The following is a 14,355-nucleotide window of genomic DNA, read 5'->3' on the forward strand; positions in this document are numbered from 1 at the left end:
GATGGTCTTTCTCTACCCACCGTGGTAGCTGAAGACAAAAGACATAATCTCTTGGGAGCTCTATGGCCCTGCCCATTGGCTGAGAAACCCAAATATGTATCCAGGTGACCTTAGGGCAAGCTTGTATCAGCTGATGATCTCTTAAAAGTGCTACCTTCTGGCTGGAGGATAACCAACAACTAGCACAACCAGCATTCGAGAAAACCAGCACACTAAACAAAACAACCAAGGACCCTCACAGAGTCTACTTCACTCCCCTGCTACCTCCACCAGAACAGGTCTCCATGGCTGAGAGACCTGAAGACAGATCACTTAACAGGACTCTTTGCAGATATTCCTGAGTACCAGGCTGGAGCCTGGTAGCCCCACTGGGTGGCTAGACCCAGACAAGCAATAACAATCACTACAGTCCAGCTATCAGGAAGTCCCATGCCTAGAGGAAGTGGGAGGGCACCACATAAGAAGACCACCCTGTGGGACAAAAGAATCTGAACAGCAGCCTTTGAATACCAGATCTTCCCTCTGACGTAGTCTACCCAAATGAAAAGGAACCAGAAAAACAATTCTGGCAATATGAAAAAGCAAGTTTCTTTAACACCCTCAAAAGATCACAATATCTCACCAAGAAAGGATCCAAACCAAGAAGAAATCCCTGACTTGCCAGCAAAAGCATTCAGAAGGTTGATAATTAAGCTACTCAAGGATGCACCAGAGACAGGTGGAAAACAATTTAAAGAAATTCAAAAGTAATGCAGACTATGGATGAAAAAATATCCAGAGAAATAGACGGCATCAATACAAAACAATCACAACTTCTAAAAATAAAAGATACTCTTAGAGAAATGCAAAATACACTGGAAAGTTTCAACAAAAGAATCAAACAAGTAGAAGAAAGAACTTCAGAGCTTGAAGACAAGGCTTTTGAATTAACCCAATCTGACAAAGACAAAGAAAAAAGAATTAAAAAAAGAACAAAGCCTGGAAGAAGTTTGGGATTATGTTAAATGAACAAACCTAAGAATACTTGGTGTTCCCCAGGAAGAAGAGAAATCTCACAGTGTGGAAAACCTATTTGAGGGAATAATTGAGGAAAATTTCCCTGGCTTTGCTGGAGATCTATACATCCAAATACAAGAAGCTCAAAGAACACCTAGAAAATTCATCACAAAAAGATCATCACCTAGACACATAGTCATCAGGTTATCTAAAGTCAAGATGAAGGAAAGAATCTTAACAGCTGTGAGGCAAAAGCATTAGGTAGTCTATAAAGAAAAACCTATAAGATTAAAAGCAGATTTCTCAGCCAAAATCCTACAAGCTAGAAAGGAATGGGGTCCTATCTTCAGCCTCCTTAAAATAATTATCAGCCAAGAAATCTTGTGTCCAGCAAAACTAGGCTTGATAAATAAGGGAAAGATAAAGTCCTTTTCAGACACACGCAATAATCCAATTTCAGATCATAGGCAACAAAAATGCTGAGAGAATTCGCCACTACCAAGCTAGCACTACAAAAAAAAAAAAAACCAAAAAAAAAAAAAAAAAAAAAAAAAAAAAAACCTAAAAGGAGTGCTAAATCTTGAAAGAAAACCTCAAAATACACCGAAATAAAACCTCCATAAAGCATAAGTCCCACAGGGCCTATAAAACAATACAATGAAGAAAAAAAAAAGTATTCAGGCAAAAAAAACTAGCAAAATGAATCTAATAGTACCTTATCTCTCAAAACAAATTTTGAATGTAGATGGTCTAAATGCTCCACTTAAAAGGCACAGAATGGCAGAATGAATAAGAATTCACCAACCAAATATCTGCTGTCTTCAAAAAACTCACATAAGATATAAGGACTCATAAACTTAAAGTAAAGGGGTAGAAGAAGATATTTCATGCAAATGGACAAAAAAAGTGGGCAGGAGCAGCTATCCTTATATCAGACAAAACAAACTTTAAAGCAACAGCAGTTAAAAAAAACAAAGAGGGACACTATACCATGATAAAAGAACTAGTCCAGCAGGAAAATATCACAATCCTAAATATATATTCACCTAACACTGGAGCTCCCAAATTTATAAAACAGTTACTACTAGACCTAAGAAATAATGTAGACAGCAACACAATAATAGTGAGAGAATTCAATACTCCACTAACAGCACTAGACAGGTCATCAAGACAGAAAGTCAACAAAGAAACAATGGACTTAAACTATACCCTAGAACAAATAGACTTAGCAGATATTTACAGAATATTCTACCCAACAACTGCAGAATATATATTCTATTAATTAGGACAGGAAACATTCTCCAAGACAGACCATATGACAGGCCACAAAACAAGTCTCAACGAATTTAAGAAAATCATAATTATAGCAAGTACTCTCTAGGATCACGGTGGAATAAAATTGGAAATGGACTCCAAAAGGAACCCCACAAAACGTGCAAATACATATAAATTAAATAATCTGCTCCTGAATAATTGTTGCGTCAACAATGAAATCAAGACGGAAACTTAAAAATTCCTTGAACTGAACGATAATAGTGACACAACCTTTCAAAATCTCTGGGATACAGCAAAGTGATGCTAAGAGGAAAGTTCATAGCATTAAATGCCTATGTCAAAAGTCTGAAAGAGGACAAACAGATAATCTTAGGTCACACCTCAAGGAACTAGAGAAACAAAAACAAGCCAACCCCAAATTCAGCAGAAGAAAAGAAATAACAAAGATCAGAGCAGAACTAAATGAAATTGAAACAACAACAAAAAATACAAAAGATAAATGAAACAAAAACCTGGTTCTTTGAAAAGATAAACAAAATTGATAGACCATTTGCAAGATTAACCAACAAAAGAAGAGAGAAGATCCAAATAAGCTCAATTAGAAACAAAATGAGAGATATTACAACCGATATCACAGAAATACAAAAGTTCATTCAAGGATACTATGAACACCTTTACATGCACAAACTAGAAAACCTAGAGGAGATGGGTAAGTTCCTGGAAATATACAATCCTCGGAGGTTAAACCAGGAAGAAACAGAAACTCTGAACAAACCAACAACAAGCAGTCCGACTGAAATGCTAATAAAAAAAATTGCCAACAACAACAAAAAATGTCCAGGACCAGATGGATTCACGGCTTAATTCTATCAGACATGCAAAGAACTGGTACCAAATCTATTGAAACTATTCCAAAAGATGAGAAAGAAAGAATCCCCCCTAAATCATGCTATGAAGCCAGTATCACCCTAACACCAAAACCAGAAAAGGACATAACAAAAAAAAAAGAAAATTACAGACCAATATCGCTAATGAACATAGACGCAAAAATCCTCAACCAAATACTAGCTAATTGAATCCAACAGCATATCAAAAAGATAATCCACCGTGATCGAGTGGGTTTCATACCAAGGATGCAGGGATGGTTTCACATGTACAAGTCAATAAATGTGATATACCACATAAACAGAATCAAAAACAAAAATCACATGATCATCTCAATAGATGCAGAAAAAGCATTTAACAAAATCCAGCATCTCTTTATGATTAAAACCCTCAGCAAAATCGGCATAGAAGGGACATACCTTAAGGTAATAAAAGCCATCTATGACAAACCCACAGCCAACATTATACTGAACAGGGAAAAGCTGAAAGCATTCCCCCTGAGAACTAGAACAAGACAAGGATGCCCACTTTCACCACTTCTGTTCAACATAGTACTGGAAATCCTAGCCAAGGCAATCAGACAAGCGAAAGAAATAAAGGGCTTCCAAATGTGTAAAGAGGAAGTCAAATTGTTGCTGTTCGCTGATGATATGGTTGTATACCTAGAAAACCCTAAAGGCTCATCCAAAAAGCTCCTAGATCTGATAAATGAATTCAGTAAAGTTTCAGGATACAAGATCAACATACACAAATCAATAGCACTGCTATATACCAACAACAACCAAGCTCAACCCCTTTTACAATAGCTGCAAAAAATAAAACAAAATACTTAGGAAGATACCTAAACAAAGAGGTGAAAGATATCTACAAGGAAAACTACAAAACACTGCTGAAAGAAATCATAGATGACACAAACAAATGGAAACACATTCCATGCTCAAGGATGGGTAGAATCAATATTGTGAAAATAACCATACTGCCAAAAGCAATCTATAAATTCTATGTAATCCCTATCAAAATACCATCATCATTCCTCACAAAACTGGAAAAAAAATCCTAAAATTCATATGGAACTAAAAGAGGGCCCGCATACCCAAGGCAAGACTAAGCAAAAAGAACAAATTTGGACGCATAACATTACCTGACTTCAAAGTATAATATAAGACCATAGTCACCAAAACAGCATGGTACTGGTATATAAAAATAGGCACATAGACCAATGGAACAGAATAGAGAACCCAGAAAGAAAGCCAAATACTTACAGTGAACTGATCTTTGACAAAGCAAACAAAAACATAAAGTGGAGAAAGGACACCATATTCAACAAATAGTACTGGAATATTGGCAAAGCACATGTAGAAGAATGAAACTGGATCCTCATCTCTCACCTTCTACAAAAATCAACTCAAGATGGATCTGAGACTTAAATATAACACCTGAAACCATATACATTCTAAAAGTTAACACTGGAAAAACCCCTTCTAGACATTGGCTGAGGCAAAGACTTCATGACTAAGAACCCAAGAGTGAATGTAACAAAAACAAAGATAAAGAGATGGGACTTAATTAAACTAAAAAGCTTCTGCATAGCAAAAGAAATAATCAGTGGAGTAAACAGACAACTCACAGAGTGGGAGAGAATCTTCACAAACTATGTATCTGACAAAGGACTAATATCTACAATCTACAAGGAACTCAAACAAATCAGGAAGAAAAAGACAAATAATACCATCAAAAAGTAGGCTAAGGACATGAATAGACAATTCTCAAAAAAAGATATACAAATGGTCAACAAACATATGAAAAAATGCTCAACATCACTAATAATCAGGGAAATGCAAATCAAAACCACAATGCAATACCAACTTACTCCTGCAAGAATGGCCATAATCAAAAAATCAAAAAATAACAGATGTTGGCATAGATGTGGTGAAAACAGAACACTTTTACACTGCTGGAGGGAATGGAAACTAGTACAACCATTATGGAAAACAGTGGAGATTCCTTAAAGAACTAAAAGTAAATATTTTCCTCTTGGTAGATACCACTCCTGCATCTCTACCAAGAGGCAAAGAAGTCATTATATGAGAAAGACACTTGTACACATATTTTTAGCAGCACAAGTCACAATTGCAAAGATATGGAAACAGCCCAAATGCCCATCAATCAACGAGTGGATAAAGAAAATGTGGTATACATATATACACCGTGGAATACTACTCAGCCATAAAAAGAATGAAATATGGCATTTGCAGCAACCTAGATGGAACTGGAGACCATTATTCTAAGTGAAGTAACTCAGGAATGGAAAACAAAACATATGTTCTCACTTATAAGTGGGAGCTAAGCTATGAGGGCACAAAGGCACAAGAATGATATAATAGACTTTGGGGACTCGGGTGAAAGAGTGGGAGGGGGCAAGGGATAAAAGACTGCTCACTGGGTACAGTGTACATTGCTGAGGTGACAGGTGCACCAAAATCTCAGAAATCACCACTAAAAAACTTATCCATGTAACCAAACACTACCTGTTCCCACAAAACCTACTGAAATTAATAAATATTTTTTAAAAAGTAAGAGACATGTGAGTTGCCTTTCACTTGGACACTTGGAGGCCATTGTAGGGTTATCAACTGGCTTAATTTCCATACTGTTATGTCTTAGGAAACAGGGAGAACTGAGGAGTGGGAGAGAGATGGGGAATCAGGTGGTTCATGGAGCAGTTAGTACACACACAACACTTATCAATTAAGTTTGCCATCTTATATAGGCAGGGATTATGCCTCCCAAGAACAATTGCAATAGTAGCATTAAAGATCACCGATCACAGATCACCACAACAGATACAATAATAATGAAAAAGTTTTAAATAGAGCAAGAATTACCAAAATGTGACACAGAGACACAAAGTGAGCCCATACTTTTGGAAAAACAGTGCCGAAAGACTTGCTTGACATAGAGTTGCCACAAACCTTCAATTTGTTACACACACACACACTCACACAAAATGCAGTGTCTGTGAAATGCAATAAAGTAAAATACAATAAAATGAACTTTGCTGGTGGGGGAGCCAAGATGGCCGAATAGGAACAGCTCCGGGTCTACAGCTCCCAGCATGAGCAACGCAGAAGACCGGTGATTTCTGCACTTCCATCTGAGGTACCGGGTTCATCTCACTAGGGAGTGCCAGACAGTGGGCGCAGGACAGTGGGTGCAGTGCACCATGCGCGAGCCGAAGCAGGGCAAGGCATTGCCTCAATCGGGAAGCGCAAGGGGTCAGGGAGTTCCCTTTCCCAGTCAAAGAAAGGGGTGACAGACGGCACCTGGAAAATCGGGTCACTCCCACCCCAATACTGCGCTTTTCCGACGGGCTTAAAAAACGGCGCACCAGGAGATTATATCCCGCACCTGGCTCGGAGGGTCCTACGCCCATGGAGTCTCGCCGATTGCTAGCACAGCAGTCTGAGATCAAACTGCAAGGCAGCAGCGAGGCTGGGGGAGGGGAGCCCGCCATTGCCCAGGCTTGCTTAGGTAAACAAAGCAGCCTGGAAGCTCGAACTGGGTGGAGCCCACCACAGCTTAAGAAGGCCTGCCTGCCTCTGTAGGCTCCACCTCTGGGGGCAGGGCACAGACAAACAAAAAGACAGCAGTAACTTCTGCAGACTTAAATGTCCCCGTCTGACAGCTTTGAAGAGAGCAGTGGTTCTCCCAGCACGCAGCTGGAGATCTGAGAACAGGCAGACTGTCTCCTCAAGTGGGTCCCTGACCCCTGACCCCCAAGCAGCCTAACTGGGAGGCACCCCCCAGTAGGGGCAGACTGACACCTCACACAGCCGGGTACTCCTCTGAGACAAAACTTCCAGAGAAACAACCAGACAGCAGCATTTGCGGTTCACGAAAATCTGCTGTTCTGCAGCCACTGCTGCTGGTACCCAGGCAAACAGGGTCTGGAGTGGACCTCTAGCAAACTCCAACAGACCTGCAGCTGAGGGTCCTGTCTGTTAGAAGGAAAACTAACAAACAGAAAGGACATCCACACCAAAAACCCATCTGTACATCACCATCATCAAAGACCAAAAGTAGATAAAACCACAAAGATGGGGAAAAAACAGAGCAGAAAAACTGGAAACTCTAAAAAGCAGAGCACCTTTCCTCCTCCAAAGGAACGCAGCTCCTCACCAGCAACGGAACAAAGCTGGATGGACAATGACTTTGCCGAGTTGAGAGAACAAGGCTTCAGATGATCAAACTACTCCAAGCTACAGGAGGAAATTCAAACCAAAGGCAAAGAAGTTGAAAACTTTGAAAAAAATTTAGACGAATGTATAACTAGAAGAACCAATACAGAGAAGTACTTAAAGGAGCCGATGGAGCTGAAAGCCAAGGCTCAAGAACTACATGAAGAATGCAGAAGCCTCAGGAGCCGATGCAATCAATTTGAAGAAAGGGTATCAGTGACAGAAGATGAAATGAATGAAATGAAGCGAGAAGGGAAGTTTAGAGGAAAAAGAATAAAAAGAAATGAACAAAGCCTCCAAGAAATATGGGACTATGTGAAAAGACCAAATCTACGTCTGATTGGTGTACCTGAAAGTGACGGGGAGAATGGAACCAAGTTGGAAAACACTCTGCAGGATATTATCCAGGAGAACTTCCCCAGTCTAGCAAGGCAGGCCAACATTCAGATTCAGGAAATACAGAGAACGCCATAAAGATACTCCTCGAGAAAAGCAACTACAAGACACATAATTGTCAGATTCACCAAAGTTGAAATGACGGAAAAAATGTTAAGGGCAGCCAGAGAGAAAGGTCGGGTTACCCACAAAGGGAAGCCCATCAGACTAACAGCGGATCTCTCGGCAGAAACTCTACAAGCCAGAAGAGAGTGGGGGCCAATATTCAACATTCTTAAAGAAAAGAATTTTCAACCCAGAATTTCATATCCAGCCAAACTAAGCTTCATAAGTGAAGGAGAAATAAAATACTTTACAGACAAGCAAATGCTGAGAGATTTTGTCACCACCAGGCCTGCCCTAAAAGAGCTCCTGAAGGAAGCGCTAAACATGGAAAGGAACAACCAGTACCAGCCACTGCAAAATCATGCCAAATTGTAAAGACCATCGAGGCTAGGAAGAAACTGCATCAACTAACGAGCAAATAACCAGCTAACATCATAATGACAGGATCAAATTCACACATAACAATATTAACTTTAAATTAAATGGACTAAATGCTCCAATTAAAAGACACAGACTGGCAAATTGGATAAACAGTCAAGACCCATCAGTGTGCTGTATTCAGGAAACCCATCTCACGTGCAGACACACACATAGGCTCAAAATAAAAGGTTGGAGGAAGATCTACCAAGCAAATGGAAAACAAAAAAAGGCAGAGGTTGCAATCCTAGTCTCTGATAAAACAGATTTTAAACCAACAAAGATCAAAAGAGACAAAGAAGGCCATTACATAATGGTAAAGGGACCAATTCAACAAGAAGAGCTAACTATCCTAAATATATATGCACCCAATACAGGAGCACCCAGATTCATAAAGCAAGTCCTGAGTGACCTACAAAGAGACTTAGACTCCCACACATTAACATTGGGAGACTTTAACACCCCACTGTCAACATTAGACAGATCAACGAGACAGAAAGTTAACAAGGATATCCAGGAATTGAAGTCAGCTCTGCACCAAGCGGACCTAATAGACATCTACAGAACTCTCCACCTCAAATCAACAGAATATAAATTTTTTTCAGCACCACACCACACCTATTCCAAAATTGACCACATACTTGGAAGTAAAGCTCTCCTCAGCAAATGTAAAAGATCAGAAATTATAACAAACTGTCTCTCAGACCACAGTGCAATCAAACTAGAACTCAGGATTAAGAAACTCACTCAAAACCACTCAACTACATGGAAACTGAACAACCTGCTCCTGAATGACTACTGGGTACATAACGAAATGAAGGCAGAAATAAAGATGTTCTTTGAAACCAACGAGAATAAAGACACAACATACCAGAATCTCTGGGACACATTCAAAGCAGTGTGTAGAGGGAAATTTATAGCACTAAATGCCCATAAGAGAAAGCAGGAAAGATCCAAAATTGACACCCTAACATCACAATTAAAAGAACTAGAAAAGCAAGAGCAAACACATTCAAAAGCTAGCAGAAGGCAAGAAATAACTAAAATCAGAGCAGAACTGAAGGAAATAGAGACACAAAAAACCCTTCAAAAAATTAATGAATCCAGGAGCTGGTTTTTTGAAAAGATCAACAAAATTGATAGACCGCTAGCAAGACTAATAAAGAAGAAAAGAGAGAAGAATCAAATAGACGCAATAAAAAATGATAAAGGGGATATCACCACTGATCCCACAGAAATACAAACTACCATCAGAGAATACTACAAACACCTCTACGCAAATAAACTAGAAAATCTAGAAGAAATGGATAAATTCCTCGACACATACACCCTCCCAAGACTAAACCAGGAAGAAGTTGACTCTCTGAATAGACCAATAACAGGCTCTGAAATTGTGTCAATAATCAATAGCTTACCAACCAAAAAGAGTCCAGGACCAGATGGATTCAAAGCCGAATTCTACCAGAGGTACAAGGAGGAACTGGTACCATTCCTTCTGAAACTATTCCAATCAATAGAAAAAGAGGGAATCCTCCCTAACTCATTTTATGAGGCCAGCATCATCCTGATACCAAAGCCGGGCAGAGACAAAACCAAAAAAGAGAATTTTAGACCAATATCCTTGATGAACATCAATGCAAAAATTCTCAATAAAATACTGGCAAACCGAATCCAGCAGCACATCAAAAAGCTTATCCACCATGATCAAGTGGGCTTCATCCCTGGGATGCAAGGCTGGTTCAATATATGCAAATCAATAAATGTAATCCAGCATATAAACAGAACCAAAGACAAAAACCACATGATTATCTCAATAGATGCAGAAAAGGCCTTTGACAAAATTCAACAAGCTTCATGCTAAAAACTCTCAATAAAGTAGGTATTGATGGGACATATCTCAAAATAATAACAGCTATCTATGACAAACCCACAGCCAATATCATACTGAATGGGCAAAAACTGGAAGCATTCCCTTTGAAAACTGGCACAAGACAGGGATGCCCTCTCTCACCACTCCTATTCAACATAGTGTTGGAAGTTCTGGCCAGGGCAATTAGGCAGAAGAAGGAAATAAAGGGTATTCAATTAGGAAAAGAGGAAGTCAAATGGTCCCTGTTTGCAGATGACATGTTTGTATATCTAGAAAACCCCATTGTCTCAGCCCAAAATCTCCTTAAGCTGATAAGCAACTTCAGCAAAGTCTCAGGATACAAAATCAATGTACAAAAATCACAAGCATTCCTATACACCAATAACAGACAAACAGAGAGCCAAATCATGAGTGACCTCCCATTCACAATTGCTTCAAAGAGAATAAAATACCTAGGAATCCAACTTACAAGGGACATGAAAGACCTCTTCAAGAAGAACTACAAACCACTGCTCAAGGAAATTAAAGAGGATACAAACAAATGGAAGAACATTCCATGCTCATGGGTAGGAAGAATCAATATCATAAAAATGGCCATACTGCCCAAGGTAATTTATAGATTCAATGCCATCCCCATCAAGCTACCAATGACTTTCTTCACAGAATTGGAAAAAACTACTTTAAAGTTCATATGGAACCAAAAAAGAGCCTGCAACGCCAAGTCAATCCTAAGCCAAAAGAACAAGGCTGGAGGCATCACGCTGCCTGACTTCAAACTATACTACAAGGCTACAGTAACCAAAACAGCATGGTACTGGTACCAAAACAGAGATATAGATCAATGGAACAGAACAGAGCCCTCAGAAATAACGCCCCATGTCTACAACTATCTGATCTTTGACAAACCTGAGAAAAACAAGCAATGGGGAAAGGATTCCCTATTTAATAAATGGTGCTGGGAAAACTGGCTAGCCATATGAAGAAAGCTGAAACTGGATCCCTTCCTTACACCTTATACAAAAATCAATTCAAGATGGATTAAAGACTTAAACGTTAGACCTAAAACCATAAAAACCCTAGAAGAAAACCTAGGCATTACCATTCAGGACATAGGCATGGGCAAGGACTTCATGTCTAAAACACCAAAAGCAGTGGCAACAAAAGCCAAAATTGACAAATGGGATCTAATTAAACTAAAGAGCTTCTGCACAGCAAAAGAAACTACCATCAGAGTGAACAGGCAACCTACAAAATGGGAGAAAAGTTTTGCAACCTACTCATCTGACAAAGGGCTAATATCCAGAATCTACAATGAACTCAAACAAATTTACAAGAAAAAAACAAACAACCCCATCAAAAAGTGGGTGAAGGACATGAACAGACACTTCTCAAAAGAAGACATTTATGCAGCCAAAAAACACATGAAAAAATGCTCACCATCACTAGCCATCAGAGAAATGCAAATCAAAACCACAGTGAGATACCATCTCACACCAGTTAGAATGGCAATCATTAAAAAGTCAGGAAACAACAGGTGCTGGAGAGGATGTGGAGAAATAGGAACACTTTTACACTGTTGGTGGGACTGTAAACTAGTTCAACCATTGTGGAAGTCAGTGTGGCGATTCCTCAGGGATCTATAACTAGAAATACCATTTGACCCACCAATCCCATTACTGGGTATATACCCAAACGACTATAAATCATGCTGCTATAAAGACACATGCACATGTATGTTTACTGTGGCATTATTCACAATAGCAAAGGCTTGGAACCAACTCAAATGTCCAAGAATGATAGACTGGATTAAGAAAATGTGGCACATATACAACATAGAATACTATGCAGCCATAAAAAATGATGAGTTCATGTCCTTTGTAGGGACATGGATGAAATTGGAAATCATCATTCTCAGTAAACTATCGCAAGAACAAAAAACCAAACACCGCATATTCTCACTCATAGGTGGGAATTGAACAACGAGAACACATGGACACAGGAAGGGGACATCACACTCTGGGGACTGTTGTGGGGTGGGGGGAGGGGGGAGGGATAGCTTTAGGAGATATACCTAATGCTAAATGACGAGTTAATGGGTGCAGCACACCAGCATGGCACATGTATACATATGTAACTAACCTGCACATTGTGGACATATACCCTAAAACTTAAAGTATAATAATAATAAAATAAAAATAAATTTAAAAAATGAACTTTGCCTGTATTTTATCAGAAAATTTACACATATATAAATGTGTATGCATGCATGATTGGAACATATGTGTGTAACAGTTGTAATAATAAACAACTTGTCAATCTCCAAAGTGGTAAGTAGTCATAGACATCCTGCCTTTTCAATCAGAGATTGCTCTGATAGTAAAGGAACACAATAAATCAGTTGCCTTGTTTTTGCTTTAAATGGGGTTGCGCTGGTCCGCAGATCCAGGCAGCTCCTTAATGTCTAAACAACATTACTACTAGCAAATGGATCTCAGATGCTCTTGAAATACTTGCAGTTCACATTGTTGCCACCCTTTCCCATGAGTGCCTCAGACTTTCTGCCTCTGATTCATCCTGATGCCATAAGCCCTGGGATATTCTGTGTCAAATAACTCAAAGCCCAGTTATGCAAAGGAGACTCAATTAGTCCACATTAAATATCCACTGTGAGTTCCACTGTCCAAAGGAGAAAGATTTCAATCAAATGAATTTATTCTGCATTTAACATCCTGACTGCTGACTAAAGAATATTTAGGAAGTAGAAACATTTACAAGGTTATAAAGATGACATTTCATTTTCTAACCCACAAATCAATTTTTACTATAAAAGTTTGCTTTAGCAAGACTTGGGCAAATTGGCCTTCATGTTATCTCTTGCATTATGTGGAGCTTTTATTCAAAATACCTTTATGCATATAAATGCCTAGCAACACCTTTTTGATGTATTCAGAATCTATAATTTTATTTAATTGGTAGAAAACAGGTTTTGACCAATTCTAAGAATGAATATGTTCCATCTTTTCCATGTGCTGCTCTCCCTTAAAGCCCCAGTTGAAGTCCTGCCATGAAATTACATTGCCTCCTTGACTTTCCTGCTCCTCCTATATATTTGTTTTTTCATACACACCTCTTTTAAGTAAAATATAACCCAGTTTGAATTTTAATACCCTATTGCTTTCCTTTACATTTTTAATCACAAAATGATGTGGCCACCCAAGGTGGTTTTAGTACAAACACACAAAATTCACTGGAAATAAGTAAAACCACAAAGTCAGTGATCTGAAAACTGAAAGAACTGTCTTTCTGGCTATTCTTTGCATGAATAATATTTATTGTAGTAAGCTTCCTCTCTCAGAAAATCTGTTTATGAAATGTCATTCTGTTCACCTACTGCTCTTTCACACGTACATGAGTCCTGTGGGGCATTATTATGTCTGTGCCTGTGTTCCTCTTTGAAGTGAGCTCTTCTCACTTGCATAACCAAGACTGATCAACCATGAAGCTTTTTGTTTTTTTTGGTTTTTTTGACAGACAGTTATTGGAGCTTGAAATGGGAGAAAAAGTCTGAAAGAACTGCTTTCAGATATGGATACAAGGAGCCTTCTCCTTTCCTGAACCTCACGCTCCTACACACACATTTCTCTCTAGTGTGAACTATTACAGACTAAAATATCAAACATTTGGCTTACAGTATTGATGTTTCCACTTCATAAGTACAAATCTCAGAATATGTGCTCACTCAACAATAAGCTTCTTCTGAAGACACGACTATAAAAAAATTGGAATAAGGCGCATACATAGATCTAGACAATCCTTCATATATTGATTCTAATTATTATTCTCCCTTGAAACCCATTTTTATTCTTTAAGGGAGGGCAGGCTTAGCTGATAATGAATGTCTTTTATTGCATTACTTGAAGTAATTACCTTCACTAGAATTTTGCCTTTCAAACTTTGAGGGCTTGGAAGCTGCTTGCACTCCCCTGTATCAACAGATGACAGGTCCAGTTTGTCTCCGAATATTCCTTTCAGGTACTGAGCAATCTTCCTTTGCTGCTGGATACTGCAGTGATTCTCGATAGACAATATAACAGGAAACCTGAGAAAAGAGCAACACAGTCCAGAGGCGTCAGGTGCAGGCAACTCACAGGGACTTTTGAAAATGATTCAGTA

At 38.9% G+C, this 14,355-nt stretch overlaps 1 protein-coding gene across 20 annotated transcripts in view; it reads right to left on the bottom strand.

Moving 5' to 3' along the window:
• PLCH1 (phospholipase C eta 1) overlaps positions 1-14,355 on the bottom strand; it is a 294,138-nt gene that overhangs the window by 84,744 nt on the left and 195,039 nt on the right. For all 20 annotated transcript variants that reach the window (XM_017005927.2, XM_047447747.1, XM_047447746.1 and 17 more), the window contains one exon: positions 14,110-14,281. In XM_017005927.2, coding sequence (XP_016861416.1) covers positions 14,110-14,281 — 172 coding nt within the window. The remainder of the gene's footprint in view (positions 1-14,109; positions 14,282-14,355) is intronic.

This window comes from Homo sapiens, chromosome 3 (genome assembly GCF_000001405.40).
Source record: "Homo sapiens chromosome 3, GRCh38.p14 Primary Assembly".
Taxonomy (NCBI): Eukaryota; Metazoa; Chordata; class Mammalia; order Primates; family Hominidae; genus Homo; species Homo sapiens.